Source organism: Homo sapiens, chromosome 3 (assembly GCF_000001405.40).
Source record: "Homo sapiens chromosome 3, GRCh38.p14 Primary Assembly".
NCBI classification, from domain to species: domain Eukaryota; kingdom Metazoa; phylum Chordata; class Mammalia; order Primates; family Hominidae; genus Homo; species Homo sapiens.
In genome coordinates, this window is record NC_000003.12 from 115820903 (window position 1) to 115842148 (window position 21246).

At 37.8% G+C, this 21246-nt stretch overlaps 1 protein-coding gene, 1 long non-coding RNA gene and 1 pseudogene across 8 annotated transcripts in view; 2 read left to right on the top strand and 1 right to left on the bottom strand.

Annotated features, from left to right (window-relative positions):
* The window catches only part of LOC124906269 (uncharacterized), a 277601-nt gene that overhangs the window by 29802 nt on the left and 226553 nt on the right, over nucleotides 1–21246 (top strand). The window lies entirely within an intron of this gene.
* The window catches only part of LSAMP (limbic system associated membrane protein), a 643114-nt gene that overhangs the window by 18529 nt on the left and 603339 nt on the right, over nucleotides 1–21246 (bottom strand). For 5 of the 7 annotated variants that reach the window (XM_017006383.3, NM_001318915.2, XM_024453520.2 and 2 more), the window contains 2 exons: nucleotides 20943–21091; nucleotides 13660–13695 (listed from right to left, as the gene is read on the bottom strand). In XM_017006383.3, the coding sequence (XP_016861872.1) occupies nucleotides 13660–13695; nucleotides 20943–21091 (185 nt within the window). Of the gene's footprint in view, nucleotides 1–9514; nucleotides 10652–13659; nucleotides 13696–20942; nucleotides 21092–21246 lie in introns of those variants that run through there. The other 2 variants (XM_011512840.4, NM_002338.5) reach the window with 2 other exon arrangements.
* On the top strand, nucleotides 16968–17257 carry RN7SL815P (RNA, 7SL, cytoplasmic 815, pseudogene; annotated as a pseudogene).

Below are 21246 nucleotides of genomic sequence, written 5' to 3' on the forward strand. Positions count from 1 at the left end.
TGGGGCCAGGAGGTCCTTGCCTTATTTCCCAAATCCTGGCAGGTAGAACATTTTCTGGAGGGCTGAGCTTTATTTTAAAACACCTTCCTGACTAATAAAAATGTGAACTTTAACAAATAAAAGCCCAAGTTTCTTTTGAAGATTTATTCTTCTTCTTACCCTTTACTATGATCTCTTGCTCTTATCTCTCACTACGTGATGTGATTTTTTTCTCTTTCTCTGTCTCTCTCTCTCCCCCTCCCTCCATCCACATCTCTGAAAAAATTCAAGTGAGTGTTGCAAAGATGAAAGATGCTCCATTGGAAACTCTACAGTTTATAGTTTGGGAACTCCCTCATTATCTTAGGAAATCTTCATATCTTTATGTGTGGAAAATTTTGGCATTTTGCTTTCTTTGAGTTATATCTGGGAGATGAAGTGAGGGTACAACACATTCATAAGGAAAAGAATTGACGTTTAGTGCTTTCAGTCTTGACTTTTGACAACTTTTCTCTAATCCTCTACTTATAAGAGTTCATTTGCATTCACATGTAGGTAACGTAGAGTTTGGGGAGTTTATATTGTTTGCACAGTTGTTCTAATTCTAGGGTATTTACTTGAAAACAAATGTCTTATTTTTCAACCTGCTGCAGCCATTTGAAAAAGAAAACATTATCTCTATGTGTGTGACATAAGTCTTTCTATAAGGCTAACCCTCTGATGTGCTGCAGGTTTTGAAAATGACATAAGAATAATTAATGGCACTTTTAAAATTCTGGGCCAGAGTTAGTAAGAGTGTGTGTTTGCAGAAGTGGGACAGGAAAAGGTCCAAATTCAGTAGGGATTTTATCCTCCAGTTCCTGAAAATTGCAGAAAGGGGCAGGGTTAAAATTATTAAGAAATGTAATAAAAGAAACAGAGGAGGAGATCATACCTGCTGCTGCTTCCTCACTGATGCCAAGGACCTGAGGCATAACATTTGTAAGATTCTGCCATGGAAATTTATGGGTTTTGCCCTCTGACTTCTGTTTATTTATTTATTGGCCAAATTTTTGAAAAATAAAACCTTTATAATTATAGTGGCTTAAAAGGGAGCAATTTTTATTAATTCAATTTTCAAGCCACACTTTGAAAGCTATTAACTTCTTTCTCACAGATTTCTTCACTCAGAGGCTTTAGGGATTAGCAGCTTGTACTTGTAAATATTATTTTTTTCTTTTGCCATAGAAAAGTATTTGCCTTGTGATTCATATTTGAATTATTAGAGCTTTTGATATTCTCCCATGTATGATATTCATGTTGTATAAACCTCAATGTCAAATATTTCTAGAATAATGTTTTCTGAGAATCAAAGTACTCATTCTGGGGCTAGTGAAGTAAGAAAAGAGTCAAAATAGAGAAATGGATTTGAATCTCAATCTTGAGATTCTTCCTATATTTTTTTCTTTTCTTTCTTTCTTCTTTCTCTCTTTCTTTCCTTCTTTTTTTTTTTTTTTTTGACAGAGTTTCGCTCTTTTTGCCCAGGCTGGAGTGCAATGGCCCGATCTCGGCCCACCACAACCTCCATCTCCCAAGTTCAAGCAATTATCCTGCCTCAGCCTCCCGAGTAGCTGGGATTACAGGCATATACCACCATGCTTAGCTAATTTTGTATTTTTAGTAGAGATGGAGTTTCTCCATGTTGGTCAGGCTGGTCTCAAACTCCCAACCTCAGGTGATCTGCCCGCCTTGGCCTCCCAAAGAGCTGGGATTACAGGTGTGAGCCACTGCCCCCGGCCTTCCTATTTTCTTAGTTAATAGGTGGACCATTGCCCTCATGACTAAGAGTATACATCAAACCAGCTGAGAAAACTAAGCAATCTTAGCATGTCATCAATATTTGAGAAAGGAAGTTGGCCTCCCTTAGCTAGATTTGGGCCAGCAAGGAATGCTACACTTTACTTTCAAATACCGCTAAAGGCTTTTCTTCTTTATAGTTGTCTGTGACTAGAAATGGACTTCAGTTTGGTGCTCTGTCAGAGTAAATAATGACATAGGCATGAGTAGACAGTACCAGAATACTGCAGCCCTAGACAGATGGTGTTAATTCCTTGTTGAATGAATGAATGAAACCAAACTAAAATAATGCTGGTATAATTTCTTGTTGAAAAACGTGAATAAAATATTTGGGCCTCACTCCTTATATCAAATATTCTATAGTGAATAGAATGTGAAAAAATGCTTAAATTGTCATTGGATTAAAAAGAACACATCTATTAAAGGAAAAATATTAATGCGCCAACTTGGAGAGAGAACATATGAGCCCCCACATCTGAAAGGAGGACTCTTACTGGGGATCCTGGAGGTGCATGAGGGAAATCCCTTGTGAGTCAATATTTGACTAAGACCTGAAAGCACTTTGGGTGTGCACATCACTGTGGAGAGCACCCTGGCCCAGGTAGGAGGGCAGCTCCTGGGCCTGCCTCTGCTATAACCTTGAACGAATAACAGAAACATGCCCAGCTTCTGAGAGCATGGAAAAATAGAAGACATTTTATGTTTTTAACTTGAACATTCTGTAGTACACTGGCAGCTCAAACATTCAGACAAAACATTTGTTTATATTGCATTAATGGTGTTATCTCTAAGGAGAGGGATTACACAGGAGCTTTATTTTCTTCTTTATAGTTTCATATTTTTCAAATTCTTCCATAATGAGAATGCATAACATTTATTATCAGAATAGAAAACTATTTGTAAAAACAAATCAATGCATTTTTTTAAAAAAAACCTTTAAATGTGGAGAAAAGGAAATAATCATTTTCTGATTATTTGGCATTGGCATTAGTTTGACAACATTACAAGGAGAATAAATTTTTTCTCCATTTTTCAGCTGGGAGATACCATGTAGTAAAGCAAAAGAGAAGCTAAGATGGGTGAATCCTAATTTCCAAAGCAACATGGTCTTAACAGCAATGCAATAAAAAATGTTATCATACAGGTTGATGAGGTCCTACTGACCAGAGGCTTGATGTACTGGGTATTGTCGTATAAAGTAAGTATAGGTGCATGATTTGACTTTAACCATTATGGGCTTTGCTCAATGGTGATACGGATTGTTACAGAAAGAGCAGTCTCACTAAACACTCTCAACATAAAGAGAATGCTTTCTTAAGTCTCTTGCACCAAGTCAGCTTTCTTACATTTTGAGAGTTTCTTATTTAGCCTGAGAGGTTTAGTTTTTAATAATCAATGAATTGAAATGTTCCAGAATGCCAAAGAGGCTAAGTTTAATAAAGGGGTTTCTCTGGGCTATGCCACCTGAAAATATGTGTAAGATTAGATAAATCCCAGAAGTAAATTTATTTGGATCAGCTGTCAGTAAGGTACTCAGGACTAGACATGCAGTTTCTGTCTTAAAGAAGAAACAGGTTTCTCTGCCCTTGTGCCTAAAATGCACCTTGGCCCTTGTCTATGGGTGCAAACTGGCCCTTTGACCTTTGTTGTAATTAAGAGACCAGCCAACTCATTTAATAAAGAACTATATTCCAGGCCAGTTGCTGTGACTCATGCCTGTAATCCCAGTAATCCCAGCACTTTGGGAGGCCAAGACGTGCAGATCACGAGGTCAGGAGTTTGAGACCAGCCTGGCCAACATGGTGAAACCCCATCTCTACTAAAGATACAAAAAATTAGCCGGGTGTGGTGGCATGCACCTGTAATCCCAGCTACTCGGGAGGCTGAGGCAGGAGAATCGCTGGAACCCAGGAGGCGGAGGTTGCAGTGAGCAGAGATTGCACCGTTGAGTCATTGCACTCCAGCCTGGGTGACAGGGCGAGACTCCGTCTTAAAAAAAAAAAAAAAAAAGAACTAGCTTCCGGACCTAAATCTACTTAGTTGTTGATTCTTCTTAGTTGTTAAAACATAAAATAGATTATATATGTCATATTTGTGTTTAAAAACATAAATTTTATGTATACTCTAAAGCCTTTTGTACTTTCATTTATCTGACTTGGTAAGAAAGATTAAAAATGCAGGTTTGGATAGGTCTCCAGAGATTTACATTCTTTCTGGTCTTACCCCTCACTTTCTATTTTCCAGCCCCAAATTGTGAATTTCTGATCTATTTTTGAATACATTTTAAATTTAAAATCCTAAGGCATGCAAGACCATCTTTAATCTACGTAATATGCCTTTTCATTTTGTATGTTTTAAAATCAAAACCATTCAAATAACATGAAACGAGGTAACTGGCCTGCAGAATTTGAATGCAAAGATAACAAGTGAATTTGTGAGATTTCCCAGGGTTTTTAAAGCTCCTGGAAATAAGGAGATAAGGGATTAAAAAATGTTGGTATGCTCTGAGTCACCCTTGGACCTACCTCTATTGCACTAACTACCGCAGTGCAGAACTTGGTAAATGTAGTTCTGCTTTGGACTACTTCCAGCAACATTATTCTTTGGAGTTCCAGAATGCTTCAATAACAAGTTTGGTTTATCTATAACTCCTGCTATGTCAGTGACTCCAAATATAACATTATAGCCAGGTCCTTGTGCAACTCTCTGAAAATACTGATGGCTCCTTACAACCTATTTCTACAACTAAAATAAAAACCTACCATCAAACCTCCTTACTGAAAAGCTGCAAGTTTTCTCTAGACATTCTGCTAAATAACAGGCTGTCAGTATCCTCCAGAAAGCTAAACCTAAATACTAATACCTACCACACAGTACATAATATCCATGTGTGACCATACAATTAAGCCCACAAGTGCTTTTCCTGGTCCTGAGTGTAATATAGGTGAAAATGCCCAATCTCTAACCTTTATTTTTATTTTTCTAGAAATTATCTTTATTTTTTAAACTTGATGTATTCGTATAAGGTATAAAGATCAAATGAGGGTAATTGGGATATCCATCACTTTAAATATTTATATTTTCTTTATGCTAGAAATGTAGAAATCTTTGAAGTATTCTAGCTATTCTGAAATGTACATACATTGTTGTAAATTATAGAAATTCCTCACCTTTAACTCCACTGGTTTATCATGTTTATTTCTTTTTGTAAACAGGCCAGATGCAAGACAGGATAAACTCTTACGTAAAAAATATTATTTTTCTAGATTTAAAAAATTTATTAGGCTTTATAGTGGATCCCTGTGAGTTAAGTTCTTTCTGGATTCTAGACCTTTGCAGGTAGTGGGTTGTCGTTCTCTTCCCCTGCTTCTTCTCTTTCTGTCTTTTATTTTTATTTTTATTTTTATTTTTATTTGAGACAGAGTCTCGATCTGTCACCCAGGCTGGAGTGCAGTGGCGCAATCTTGGCTCACTGCAAGCTCTGCCTCCTGGGTTCACATCATTCTCTTGCCTCAGCCTCCTGAGTAGCTGGGACTACAGGCACCTGCCACCACGCCCGGCTAATTTTTTGTATTTTTTAGTAGAGACGGGGTTTCACCGTGTTAGCCAGGATGGTCTCAACCTCCTGAACTTGTGATTCAGCCTCCCAAAGTGCTGGGATTACAGGCATGAGCCACCACGCCTGGCCTGTTTCTGTCTTTTAAACTTCACTTTCACCTGGAAGTCTTCCCCCATTAGCCCAGACTAGCTAATGTGCCCTGGTTTGTTCTCCCCAAACACCTACCAGTTATCTTCACATGGACTTAAAGTTTACTGTGGTTGCTTAGTTCATTAAGTACTTCTCCATTTGGTCTGTAAACCCTCTTAGTGCAGAGGCTGTACCTGCTTCATTCTCCTTTGTCATCCCCAAAACCCGGCTCAGAGCAAATACTAAGATATTTCTTTGAGTAAATGAATGGTGTCGTCAAGATATTGTGCATGTCAAATTAACTTAACCTGTGCCAAAAAATGAGTTTTTAACTGCCTATCAAGAATGTAACCTCTTTCTTGTGTTCCTAATGATTAGAAATCATAATGAAAAGAAAACGTGACCTCTAAAAGAAACTCTACAAAGCAAAGGCAAGAGCAAGTGGAGAGTACATCTAAATACAGAAAAAAAATCATACTATTTACGAGTTAGAATGGGAAGGTTGATCTCCCAACGGAAGACCAGCCTCCAATTAATGGGATCATTCCGTCTTTTTTTTTTTTTTTTTTTTAAGCACTGCTGCACTTAACAGCTGTCAGCGATAAACTTACCTGTGTTCTGGAACTTCAAGGGAGAAAAATAAAACAAATTTCCCAAGTTACTCTAGCTTGCAATTCAACAGAGAAGTGCAAGTTACTGCTTGGTTTCATTTTGTTTGCTTTGTTTTGTTTCTAGCTATTTCTGCTCTCCAAATATCCCCAGCTTCCAACTCATACAAAACCCACACGTATAGTTGAAAAACCACTGTAGGATGGCCAAGCAAGTTTCCAACATAAAACATGGCTGGGAATGCTTGCTGCTGTGTGAGCTAAGGAGCATGGGATGGTAAACAGAATGGACACTTGGCCAAGGCACGGTTATTTTCTACTGCTTTTTTTTTTTTTTTTCTACAGGATGCTACTATTGCCTCCAAATGTCTTTTTAGGCTTTTTAGGCAGTTAAAAAGGTCATACTGAGATTCCGAGGTTTAGAAGGTGGGTGCTTAAGTCAGAATCTTTATTGCGAGTATGGGGCAGATAAAAAGTAGAATGAACTATTAGCTGTGATTGATAGTAAAGAGACTATGTCAGTGGTAATGTCTGGGTGCTAATCATAGGTATGTGTTACAGAGATGTGGGAAGCATTTTCTTTTACAATCAGCACAGTGATAAGCGAAACTATAGAGTAAACTATGGCAGTGCTTGGCTCCCCAGGGTCCAATTAGGAAGCATGATAAATGACTTGTAAGGTCTCTTCCCCACTGATCTGTGGTGGATATAAGCTGACATTCTCCGTGGAGTCCTAGTGAGTAGTCTGCCTACTCCCATCATACATCTCAGTACATAGGAACACCTTAAATTGGAATTCCAAACTCATTATGCCATGCTGTGTTCTTACTTGGCAGGTGTGTTTCTTCACAGCAGTATACAAGGGGAGGTGTAAGGTGGGATCTCTCATACTGATTTTTTCCCCATCAAGGTGCTTTTTTAGTTTAATACCTACAAATAACTTGTGATGATGAAAGAATATCATGAGGCTGCAATGACTGTATAAGGGAAATTGTTAACTAAGCTTAATTTGTATCTTGCCTCTTCAGAAGTCAAAGCTTTCTCCAGATAGGTGGGATAAGGGCTTGGTGGTGCTTGCATGGCTAGTAACCAGTGTTTAGAAGTGAATGTCAATACTATCAAAACCTTTTCTTTGGTTTTGTCTGAAAGATGTCAAAGAGAACATGCATACGTAATGCCTGGTAAATATGGTGGAAAATGTAGAGAAAGGAGCCAAGGAACAGGTTAAAATTAAGGTTCATACTTTTTGGGTTATCATAAGACATTTGTCAGGGGCTGGTACTATCTCGATGATTTAATACTTGGGAGAGTTTTTTTTGCTGTTGTTTTTTGTTTGTTTGTTTATTTGTTTCCTCTATGTACTACCACTTTTTAAAAAGGACTCTCACTCCATACAGTCTCTGAACCCAGAACTAAGTTCCCAAAGGAAGGACTTCCTTCCTGTCTAAACACAACAATGTTTCTCACAGTCGACTGCTATGCCCATGTTAACTGGCACATGAGGCAGACTCGAGAGCAAGCAGTGCTGCCGTGCACTCTAAAGACCAGAGGAGCCTGTGTCAGTTTTCTGTCCATCAAGATCCTGGTCTTCTCACCCTTTGGGGCAGCATGCCAACATTTTCTGCTGCAAAATTTCATTGAGCTCCTCTTAGGCAGCTTTATTCCTTTTAATTAAAAAGACAAGACTGCCAATTACTTAAACCTAATCCCCAAATGTAACTGTTACTTTGAAAATTTTTTTTTCTATAAAGCTCATAGAAGAGCAATATTTCTATCAAATTAAAATTTAGTGGAAGCTTGGATTTTTGTTAAAAAAAATATTCATTTTCAAATCCCTGCTGGCTCTAGACATCTAAATAGCACAGCAAGGCATTAAGGACAGGGAGCTCACCAGGAAAGGCTGACTGGTGCAGGCAGATCCAGATTCGAAAACCAGGAAGAGGCATTAGAAAGGAGTTCTAGGCACTAGAAAGGACTAAACATTCTCCTATCTTTAAATTGACTCTGTAGGATTTTTAGTCATTTAGCTTGAAGCTAAATGTAAATTTTGAGAGAAATAACACTTCCAAGCCCTTGTTGAACATTTAAATAATGGTGTGAATAAATTTTGGATTTATTCTTGCTAGCAACTTTTAGCAGGGGAGAGAACAACAGTTTAGGAAACAGAGTAGAAGGAAGAGTAAAGAGGTGGGGGAGATAAGACACAGAAATGGGGAGAAAACCTCCCTATTACACTGTGTCAAAATCATTGGATTGATGAGTGAACCATTGATTCCACATGAAATATTGGTACAATTATCCCGCTTGAGTCTCTAACCACTAAAGAAAATCAGAAGGAAATCAGACTATTGTTCCCATAAACGAGCCAGGGAATTAGGTATGAAGGTCAACTCAATAATTTTCATGTGTATTAATCAGAGCCAATCATTTTGTTGTAAATTGGTGCTGACATGTCTGCCTAAATTCTATTTGTAGTAACAAAGTCCTTGTTTCTGCTAACCAGTGGGAAGGAGAGACATATTTAAAAAGGGAAATCTTTCCTAGGACATACTTTATACCCTTGACCAGCAAAAAGGGCAGGTCCTTTAGGCTGATGGGTTGGCAGTCATGTGGTACTGTGTATGAAGGGCATCCGCTGAAAGTGTGTGAGTGTATATGTGTGTGCCACACAACCAGGAACTGTGTGCAATTTTGCAGCTCTTCTTAAATGTAATATTATGATATTGGTAAGAAAATAATGAAAAATATTTTTTATTTGGCCTTAGGATGCTTCTACATTAAAACTTCAGCAGTGTGGGGATTTCAGAAATCTTTAGAATCCATAATACATCAAAATATAATAAGAATACATTGAACTTATATCTAGCTGATGTCCATGCAACATGATACCAGTATACCTGCAAATATCAGTGCTTTTAAAAATTATAAGACACATGTGTATCTGAATATGATTATTTTAAATTCAATATGCCTTCTAGGAACTTGAAGCTCTCTTTTGTATATTATTTAAAATACCACTTTGAGCTTGTAGGCATGAAAAATATAATTTCTTTCCCATTTCACAGTTGGAAAAACTGAATTACAGGAACAATGCAAGTAATTATCCATGATTAATAGAGGTGTATATGTAAATCAGCCTGAATAAGTGTGTGAAATTAGATGTACCGATGCCAGATAGCTCTGCTCAAGTTTTTAAAAAATGAATGCTTTCATATAAATCTGTGTGAGTTGGGCATACATCTCACTGTGCTAAGCATATTTGAAAATAGATTTTGTAAAAATGTACAGACGTTAAAGTAACTGAGTGTTATAAGCATTGCAATACATAAAACAAATTAGATGAACATTTAAAATCCATTGAAAAGATGCATATCTAATGAACATGAATGTATACACAAGGGTGATTATTAATATACTATAGATTTGTATATGTGCCTGGGTGCAATAAGGGGTAGGTTGAAATGTAGGTGTCCTTTGATCATTAAAAAGTGTGGGAGAAAGGTGCACGTTTCTTTCTTAGGGTTTTGGGAGTTGAGTTAATACAGGCAAAAGCCCTTTAAACTCTAATGGTACATGAGAAGGCCGTTATGTATGTTAGCTGTTGTTATTATTAATATTATTACCATTATTAAACAAAGCAAAATACTGTTGTATTAAGGAGCTGAAAATAAGCTTTTTCTTTTTAATACTAAGGATGGTATTCTACAGAAAATAAATGAAACTGGAAATTATTCAGTGATCTTCACAGCATGGGATATGTTCAAAATTTTTCTCCCATTTTACCTCTCATCCTTTTGGAATTTGATTTCAAGAATGTATTACTGGGAATGCCAGGTGAGGGCAGGTACGCCCTCTCCTCTAACTGTAGATAGGATATGGCTGTTCTGATGCCAGGCCTGCCTGTAGGAACATGAGTCCCCCTTAGGGAGAAAACATGCCAGGACGACTTCAGATTTCTGCAAGCCTCGCTTGTTTGTGGTTTGGATTTTAATTTCTTTCTAAACTTTAATTTTGGGAGTGGGGGTTTGTTTTGTTTTCTGAAAAAGCTTTGGACAGCTGTATTAATCATGCAAACCCAGCCATGTGCAATGCATTTTATCAATGGAAAAACAGGGATGGAATGGCAAGCAGCTGTGAACAAACCTGGTGCCATGCCTGAACCTGAAAGATAATCTCAACATTTCCCAAACCCACTTGCCACACGGGGTTAGTGAATGGAAAGGCTGTTCACTTGGGATAAATAATCAGATGGGAGGCAAACAAGTGAGACACATTCCAGGATTTGTTTTGTTTTGTTTCAAAGTGGCAGTGATCAGAAAGGGATAGGCTGATTGAGTCCAGAGAGCCCCACGCTCAAGGGAATTTTTCGCTTGAGAGTTACATAAACAAAACGGTTGTTTGCCCTTGTCTTTGCCCCTTGTTTCACGTCTTTTTAATTTTCTGAGGCTGGTTTCAACACTTCATTCTGAACCTACGGTCCTCAATGTGAGAATGTCTCTGGGTGCACTTCCATTATGAAGAAGAGCTAGGCACAAGTAAACTGATGGGGAGAAATGTTATCATTGCTCAGTACCCAGAAACCTCAGGAAACAATGTCAACCTCACAAAGTGAGAAAAGTTCCCCCAGACATTGAGAGCTGACTCTTTCCTCATTTTGCAATTCAGTGGATTTTCTGCAGCAATATAGTAGGAGGTATTTATGCAAATTTATGCAATTCAGGACTCACTTCAGAATAAATAAACCTAAATTAAAATTAATGGAAGAAAACACCTATCAGAAACAGATCAAGGATAGAACACTATTTTATTTGTATCTTTTAAACTAAGGAGGAGGAAAGCAAGCTGGTTTTATATTTTGTTTTGTTTTTGGCAGATGGGGGAAGGATATTTGAAAATTTCTGATTGGACACAGCCAATATAAATTACCCATTGGTGGAATTCCAGTATTATTATTATCACTGCAGAAAATCAAGCAATATGATGAAGGAAACCCAAGGGAAATGCATTTGATTTATTGAGGCTTGTTTTTGTTTAATCACAGCTTGAAGGGGTTAGGACTACATTCCTGCTGCGACTCTGCTGTGCATCCCCAGTCATCTTGATGAGCCATGTAGAGTGGGGATAGGAGGGAAGATCCTCCAATGAGAGATATTAATAATAAAGCAGCTGAAATGAAACATACATCTTTGTGAGGTTGGAAATTAGGAAAGAAAGTTTTCCTTTTTATAATGGGAAGGCAGAAAAAATCTTTGTAACTTTTGAAACACCCACTTTCAAAACACCTTAACAAAATTAATTGCCTTAAAATTTTTAGGCCATTTTACGTCAACCAATCTCTAAGAGACAATTGATATTTTAGGAATGAAATTTAAGAGTTCATAAAGATGGTGACAATATATGATATTCAATTAAATGAAGATACCTTGCATTATAGCTATGACCACAGTGAGGCATGCTTCTCATAGATATTTGGGTACTTAACTGGCACCATAAAAATGCTTAAGCATCCTATTGTTAGTATTTCTTTCAATGGGAAGCTGCATTTCGCTTGGGTTAACCTCGATTGGAAAGAGGAGAAGAAAAGTGATTCAATCCCTAAGAAGTTAAAGTCCTTGTAAAGAACAGAAAACTTAAGAGGGGACTATCTTTGTATAGCAAACTCTCACGCCAGCCATCCGTCTTAATGAACAGCTTTTCAATTTCCACTAGCCGAAGACCAAAGTATTAGTATAAGATAAACTATATTCTCTAAAAACTATTGGATCTAAGAAAGCTAACTACAGTCTACCTACAATGTAAAATCAAACTAGGGTCATTCTCCAATCAACAGTTCAGTTTGTGGGAAATATGAAGTTCAAGAAAATCCCTCGTGTTCCATCCCTAGTCCAGACTGTTTTTCAGTATCCGACAGCTGTCTTTTGTGAATGGTGTCTGGCTTCACTTTGTTGAAAGTTACCTATATCATAATGCACGATTAGATAAATACTTGAGTTGGTGGCTGCAGAACTGCTCTCACAAATGATACCTAGAGTCACAGTGATAATGTACAAAGCTCATCTCAGATGGGGCACGACCTCTTTGAAAATGCTATCCAATGGTACAAATGCGTATGTGTGTGTTTTTCATATCAATATATTTGCAAGAGGGCAACATGATAAAGTGATGTCAATCTCTGCAGCAACACTAGAACATAAATGTGTTAAAATAATTGTGGTATGTCAGGAATTCAAAATGGGATATTTTCCATGAACAGTAAGTATCATGTCAAGTCTAAAAAACAGGCACATTTTAACAGTCTTATTTTTAGTGGCTGGGATTAGAAACAGATTTCATTGTTTTAGGGAAGTTTTTTTTTTTTTTTTTTGCTATTCAACAGAGTTATTCTAAGCTTTCATACTAAAAATAGTTTGTCCTCTTTTTAAAATTTGATAATAACTCTTATTAAACTGTCTAGTTGATCCTTGAAACCTTGCAATCCTTAGTTCGAAAATAATTAAAATATATTTGCATATGTGAATGCATATACATGCAAAACATTGCATTATTGACACTGAATATCTACACACAAGTTTGCAAGAGTTTATAGTTTGGACAAATGTTAATGAAACATGATTCATCTTCAAACTTATAAAACAGCAGCTTTCTACCTTTAATTCTGAGCACATTGCCTTTATGGTGTGTATGATAATCTTGCTTAATTGGATTTATTTTTTCCACGCCAGGTCCCGCATGGCCTAGTTTCCGTTTTTTTCTCAGGTCTTTGAGTCTATTTGCAAATCACTTTTCTGGAATTTAATTTCAATGGTAGGTTGGTTTCATTTCAGATTTTTTATATTGTTTTAATTTTATTTGCCAATTTCCCTTTAAATAGCCTTAAGCTAGAAAGTTGTGGCTGCACCTTGCGTCTAAATACGATGTAGGAGGCAAAATTTAATTTGAGTGCATAGAAAGTTTATGAAAAGGAATTCTGAATGATTATCTTGTTTTTTCATTTATGTTTTCTAAGACAGGTACATTTAAAAGGAAAGAAAAAAAAACCATGAATTGGCCAAGATTTTAAGAAAAAATAACATCTTTGTTATAATCCGGTTGAGTTGATTAACCTTTAGCAATATATACATTAATTTTTATAAGTAATACCAATGACTTCAGATTCAGACTGTATAAACTTCCAACTGTGAGGGTAGTCAGTCAGAGAATTGGTATTTTTGTGGCTAGAGAATTTAACTGGCTGTGTCCCAAATATGTGAGTTCCTAGTTCCTTGTAATAAATATTGACTGTAGAAAAAAATTGCTTGCTGAGTTTAGTATTGCCTTCACAGCTACTGACCAATTTGAAGATGAGTCAGATAATAGTCTTGTTCCATGCCTATTCAACTGGTGTTGGAAGCAACTAATTGGCTTTTTAAAAAAGGTTTAAGGGAAAAAAATGATTTATATTGTATGTGAATTTTTTGAATGTGTTTTCCCCCCTTTGTGTGTTTTGCATGTTAAAGATGATGGAGAATGACCCAGGAAGAGAGCTACAGTGATAAAAATCATACTGACCTTGAATGGGGTGGGGGATTGTGGGTAAAACACGTTCTAAAGGGGAAAAAATAGTAATCATCATGGAGATTTTAAATATTATATATATGTATCTTTCTCATGTTTAGTTATTCAAACAATTATACAACAGATGAATTTCCATGCTTACAGGATCATATCTCTCATAAAACATTTGTCTGTACTTCCTATTAACATTAAACTATCAAAGAAATTTATTAACAAAATTAAAAATGCAGAGCCTTTAAAAAGTTTAGCTAGTATAGGAGGACAACATCAGATTGTGATAACCCTACATACAGAATCCTACTGGAAAAAACCCACCACCAAGATTTTAGATCTTTTAGAGAGTTGAAGTTGAGGGTATTTATAATCGTGATCAAATTCAGGTGATACATCTTGGTCTTGGTTCTCGTCTCTTTAGCTCATGATAGATGAACGTGTGTCAGCTACAGACTTCTTTCCTCTCTCTAAGCCGTATAGTTCACATCAGCTTTAGCCAAGCATTTGAAAAATTTACTGTGGACAATACTAGCTCAACTTTTCCCTTAGGTTTTTACTTTACATTACTGATACCAGTATAGGAGTAACATCAAGGTAATAAATTCTTAGCATGTTATAATTTTATTTTTAGTCTATTCCTTAATTCCCCCTCTTTTTATAATACATTCTTACCCGAAATTTGATCAACCAATCAAATTTGCTTGGTGATACATCCTGTTGAGTATAATAAGAAGTACTTTTCTTTTGAACACTGAGGTCTTAGCTTAAAAGTATCTGACAGTCCCATACATAAGCTACTGACCATAGATAGAATGTACTGACAGAGTTCAGAATTTAAGGTGGCCTTCATTTATCTCATGAAAGACCTAAGATTAAATTCTCTTCTGGGGCTTTTTCAGAAATATAGAATGGAATAGTAGGGATAGGATGTATTATTTGCTAACTCCCAAATTATATGATAGTGTAACATAATTAGCACACACTTTTCTATGTTTCTCCTAGCAGCTTGATTAAATAAAGACCAATGAGAAATGAAAATCAACAAAAATCAAAACCACAATGAGAAAGGCATATGTGCATATTCAAATCTGATAGCCTACCATCTTGTGCCTTATGCTTAAAAAGAGTAGATTTTACCTGGACTTTGGGCACTGGATACATCTGGACACTGAGAAAACTCAGTCTCCTTGCAGAGTCAGCTTTTCTCCAGCTTGGCTGAAGTTGTCACTTAAATATGAAAGTTTCCTAAGTCCATTAAGATGGAGCAGGTCAACAGCAGCCCAGTGAACAATTGTGTGTTAGTTACACAAGTGTCAAGTAGAAAAATGGTTTAAGCCTCCACTGGTTATTTGGTATTAAGTTTCTAGCTTTGAAAATAAATAGCTAAACTGCTTTTAGCATTTATGTAGCAGTTGGAGACCACTGTTCCATATTATACTCTTTCTACTGAATTTTATTTTTATTATTACTATTATTATTAGACTGTTTAAATGACTCAGCTTAATATTTTCTCATCATGCTGTTCACAGCTGGGTAAATGCACTCTGCCCTTATTTCCACATGACCATTTATATTGCTAAACCATCTTACCCACCCTCCTTTCAGTGCCTTTCAACTGCTTCTCAGCTTGTTATTACCGTCTTAGCTCCACCCTGTTATCATCGTCTTAGGCCTATCACGCCCCATTAGTTATTCTCATTCTCTTAATTCCATCCTATTCACGTATCTTTCCTTAGATGCTTCTCCATCCCAATTTTTATTCTTATTCTTTGAGCATTATTCTGCTGCTGTTTTACACTTCATGCTAGGGTTTGCAGGATCTTGTAAGAGTGTAAAGTGAAGTAAATACCACTTATAAGGAAAACGAAACTTTCCAACTTTTGATTTTCAAACTAAGGGAGGGCAGAACCCTTGGTGCTATGCACTTCTCCTTTGGCAGCTGCTACTTGAGGAGGAAAACACACTTAGCAGCTGATTGGGAGATTTTGGGAACAGAACTATAAGGTTGGCCCTATATATGCTGTGGCTATATGCACAGCTATATGCTGTGGCTCTTAGCAAGGTCTCTTAACTCTCAGCTTTGGTTTCTTACCTGCTAAGTGGGTGGGCGAGGGGAGGCGAGATGTATCCACAGAGCCCATTTAAGGAGTTTGCATCTAGTGCTTCAAACTACATGTGGGTAGATAGCAGCTTAAGCTGTTTTATTGTGTGGCATCTAAAAGTAGCTGGTTAAAAGGCTTTGCCAAGTCTTCATTCTGTGACCCAGGTTAGAGTGCAGTGGCCTGATCTTGGCTCACTGCCTTCTGCCTCCCAGGCTCAAGCAGTCCTCCCACTTCAGCCTCCTGCGTAGGTGGGACCATGGGTGCACGCCACCATACCTGGGTAATTCTTTGTATTTTTGGTAGAGATGGGTTTTTGCCATGTTGCCCAGGCTGGTCTCGAACTCCTGAGCTCATTACAGGCTTCAGCCACTGTGCTTGGCCTAGGCTTTGCCAAGTCTTGACTAGCATCATCAAGTGCTGTATGTTTAAACAGCAAGCCTTTCCGATAATAAAATGCTTTTTAAAGAAAATGGGGAGGCCCTCATTATAAAGACTCCCTCTAGTGGTGGATTACTCAGGTAGCACTTGAAATTTAGTCAACTATGGCTTTACAACTTAATGATATTTTAAAGTTTAAAAAGAAAATTAAAAACACCTCCTACACACGGATGCAGCAAAGCCCAGTGTAGATTTTTTTTTTTGTATTTTTATTCTTTTGTACTCAAAAGCCTCAAAAGACCTTTATAATCCACACATTTTTCTAAAGTACAAGGTAATCAATCAGTGGGATTGTTCTTTAATGTGTGGGAATATTCTCCTCCTTATTCTCCTCCTAGACCAAACGCTGACTACTAGGCTAAACGCTGACTACTAGGCTGGAATATTCACTGAGAACATCAACATGCCAAAGAGAAGCCAATCATCGAACTAACCTGGTGGTAGCAGGCTACTGGGAGTTAATGAAAATGGAAGTGGGAGGCAACACAAGCAGTGCCCTTGGGTGGGAAGGGATGGAGCAGTATAAAGACAGTGGAAAGGCCTCGTTGAGTGAAAAAAGGAGAAAAAAAAATAGATTCTGCTCACCTCCTAACTTACAAGATATATCTCCTAATATTTATGCCCACATACACAGATGCAGATAATGTGTTGATTTAGGGCCTAGACTCTTGAAATAGACTACCTGAATTTAAATCTCAAGCTCAGCCTTACTTAGTTGCACTAGTCACTTAACTTTTCTATGCAATGGAGAAGCACAAGTACATAGTACGGTTGTTGTGATGCATGCCTGTAGTCCTAGCTACTCAGGAGGCTGAAGCGGGAAGATTGCTTTAACTCAGGAGTTCTGGGCTGTAGTGTGCTATGCTGATTGGGTGTCTGCACTAAGTTTAATATGGTGGCCTCCCAGGAGTCAGAGACCAACAGGTTGCCTAAGGAGGGTCGAACTGGCTCAGGTCAGAAATGGAGCAGATCAAAACTCCTATGCTCATCAGCAGTGGAATCATGCCTATGAATAGCCACTGCACTCCAGCCTGGGTAACATAGCAAGACCTGTTTCTGACACAAAAATATAATTTTTAAAAATCAGATCATGTATCTGAAACATTTAGCATAGTACATACTGCAGAGTACATTGCACTCACTTAATAAGAAGTGACAACCTTTAAATTATCACCCATCACCCTTTCTTCCTCCATGTCCGTTATTTTAAATCTAACTCAACAAGAGCATGAAACAAGATAAACCTATCTATCACCTTTGTGGGTGAATTTTAGTTATCAGTCTGGAAACACAGTCTGTTATGTTACTTATGCAGATGGTGGAACTTGTCTTGGTATCACTCGAAGTCCAAGTTTTCATCTATGTCATGCATATCCCCGTCTGAGAAAGACTAGGGAGCTGAATCCTTGGCCATACATTGTGCCATTGGATTAATGTATTCAAAACTTTAATATAAGGTAATGCTTAGCCCAAGGATGAAGAAAAAGATATACAAGGCATTACTTGGTTATACCGACTGAGGTAGTGTGGATCTTTGACAAACACGGTGCTAGAATGTGTGGAGAACTAGATGAATGAGAAAGGAATGCTTCCACCAGCTCAGGAAAAATTTACTATGAATACAATGTATTCTTACACCCTCATTCCATGATTTTGACCCCTCTGGAGATCAGTATTTGAATAGAGAGTGGGGAAGTGTATGTATGCATGTGACTGCAAGTTTACACTGTGTGAAAAGTCAGCTCATCACTGTGGTGGATACGGCTGAAAATGCGCTGACACACCAATGAAGATGAATAATCGCCAACTCTTCAGGGGCTCTGGCTCTGGGTCTCTACCTGCTGCTGCCGCTGGCTGGCAGAGGCTCACGAGCTGCCTGTTCTTCTCTGGATTGGCTTGGTCAGCAGAGCACCCCGCTGCCCACACAGTGCTTCCGTCAGGGCCGTGGCCACAGACACCTGCCCCCAAGCATTTCTCCCCTCCTGACTCTGTTCTGTGGAAAATTACCTCTGCTGACACTTGCACAGTGTCTTCCTTTTCCAATTAATCCCATTTATTTGAATGTAAGTAATAGACAATTGACCCACACGTGTACTGTTATCTTTTCCCTCCTTCCCTCCCTCCCTCCCTTCCTTCTTTCCTTCCTTCCTTCCTTCTTTCTTTCCTTCCTTCCTTCCTTCCTTCCTTCCTTCCTTCCTTCCTTCCTTCCTTCCTTCCTTTTTTCCTTGCTTTTATCTCCCTCCCTCTCTTTTCCTTTCTTTTCTTTTAGAACTCTGTGAAATATAAAGTTCTAGCTATGCAGGTTGTAACAATAGACCTCCCAAAACTAACTGGTGGTGGGTGGGTGGATGGGTGGAGGGAGTGTCATTCCTGCTACAACAGAAGGAGAGCTTCTCCCCCAAAATGTTTGTTCTTAGGCCTTGGATCTAAGAAATAGTGCAATAGATTCACCAATATTCTGCAATTTGAATAGTTCCTTTTTGCCTCAAAGCTTAATGATCTTTCATATTCTATTTTTTCAGTAAGTGTTATACCTCCTAACTTTCCCATAAAAGTGGGACATCTATTCTAAACCAAATGCTGATGCATGTGGTGCCTCTGCATGCTGCCAAAGACACAACTATGGTAGTGCCTATGTGGGACCACCAGGAAGTACATCATTAATCACTGCACCACACAATCCTCAAATGTATAATGGAGGGTGACTTCTACTAAATCATAAAGGGCAGTGTGATAGGATACACTTGTCTGATCATTCCCTGATTCTCAGTATACAAACAGAAGCTCTGTAAGATTCTTGACATTTCTCAATTTTTCTGGGTTAAGTCCTTTAAATGGACTTCTGTTATAGGGCATTGGTATTGTAGGGCGTGATGTTACCTTCCATGACCACGAGCAGTATCTCATTGCCTTTGACCAACTCTATGCTCACTTTCCCTTCTCCCTCAAGTATTCCATCCTTCTAACCTCTTTCTTTTTCCTCTCTCTCAGGCTATAGATGATATTTTATTTATTATTTGAAATATATCATTAGCATAGTTCTTAGTCTAGGTTAAATAGAAAGAAAATATACTTTAATGCAAATATGTAATTGCTTGCTTTCTGTAACTCATCCAATTGTTCTATCTTCTCTTTACTAATCTCTATACAACCTTCTTTTTAAGTTTTTAAGTGAATGTTGTTCTGCTTAACCAGGTCAACTCAGATTTGGTAAATCTTAAATTCCCAGTTGAGGCTGGTTCCCCCCGCACCCCCCCTCTCCCGCTGCCATTTATGGAATCCTTAATGTTAGGAATGAATCAAGTAACTACAGTTCTTAAGAAGTATATTCTCAAGCGTCTTAGGGATATTGATGTCTCTAGTTGAGGCAAAGAATACTTATGTTTGGTCTTTGGAGACAAGTAAACATGTTGTGAATTTTAAACTTCATATGGAGGCAGCATTTGTATAACTGTATCTCATCAAACTGTCACAGACTGAAGTCAATGAGAGTTACAAATGAGAAACTAAAGGCCGAAGTTAGAGTCATTTGTGGTTGTTTTTATAAACGGAGTTGGATCTTAAAGAGTTTTAAAATGGCTTTAACACTACATTTCAAGAGAACTCTCACTTAAATTGATTTTTTTTCTAAAAATATTTTTTTCTTGAAGGCTCATCTAAATGGAATATAGCAAGATAGAAACATTTCTTCTGGTCATAGTATTTCCAGTTTTTCCAATAGAATCTGTGCAGAAAAAAAAAACTTAGTGGTTTGTTATTCCAAAATAATAACAGTACTTTTTTTAGACTTTTCCCTTTAGTCCAAATGAACTTTCTGATTCAGCATGGGCTAACTTTTCGGTTTGTTTTGCTTATTCTGACAAATGTGTCTCTATTCCAGATGTTATCATTTTCCTGTGACTCCATTTAGCATCCTTCTGTTTCTCAGAGGGCATCGGCATCTGCTTCTGTGCTCATAGTCACCTGCCCAACAAGGCAGGGTGTTAGAGACTTGACTCTAACTTGCTGCTAAAGAGCAGGACTCCAAGATGGGGTCTCCTATTAACATCAGTGTCTTTAGAATGACCATTCTCCCCTTGTTCTACTTTCAGGATCTTCTCTGGTCTTCAGAAATGTTCCTCTTTCCTACCATTCCATCTCTGTTCCAAAAATATATCAGAAAAGTAATGTCTCTTACTGTCATACAGAAAGCTTTCTGCAACCATTTTTCCTCCTTTAGATTTTACATTATGTTTTTATCATTTATTCCACCCTTCCTCTTGTGTTGTTAAAAATATACTTTCTTTTTCCAGCCTCTCCCTTCTCTCAGCACCTTATCTATTCTCACTGAATATTTCTTCCTCAATCACTCTTATCACTGCCTTCAAAACAAAAAACAAAAAACACTGTTATCCATTTCCAGGCTTTTACATCACCTCTGCTTCTTAAAGGACCACTGCCAAAGAGACTTGTGTTCTCTGCATATTATTTCATTTAACTAACCAGGAAAAAACAAAAAACAAAAACGAAGAAAAACAAACAACAAGGCAGTTATCAGAAGTAAGAAAGACTATAGAGAGAAGTTGTTCCATTTATAAATCTCTGCTATGCACAGGAGTTGAGAACCCTGTATTTTTGTTTCAGTGCATATATCCTTATTTGTTTTTAAGTGAACTTTTAATAGCTAAGGGAATGGTTTTCACGTTTTTCATGTGAAAAGTCAATTTAATTCCATCAAGTTGGGCCCTGCTTTGGCATACTTACTGAAAAGGACTAGGCTGGCATTGGTGACCCCCAGCTTGTTGGCAGCCACACAGGTGTAGTTGCCGTAGTGCTCCTCAGTGACGTTGGTCACCGTCAGGGAAGACTGGCCCTCCGTGCTCTTAATCTCAAGGCCATTGGCACTATTTATCCTAAGAGTTCAAAAACAGAAGAATAGAAAGGATCACTGGTGAAGATTTTAGCTTAGGAATTCTTTCCCCATCCTGACACTGGAGGAAAAGGAGAGAAAGGAAGTAGCTAGAGTTTGTTGTTCCATGCCCAATTCCTATTTTAACTGTGCAATGCC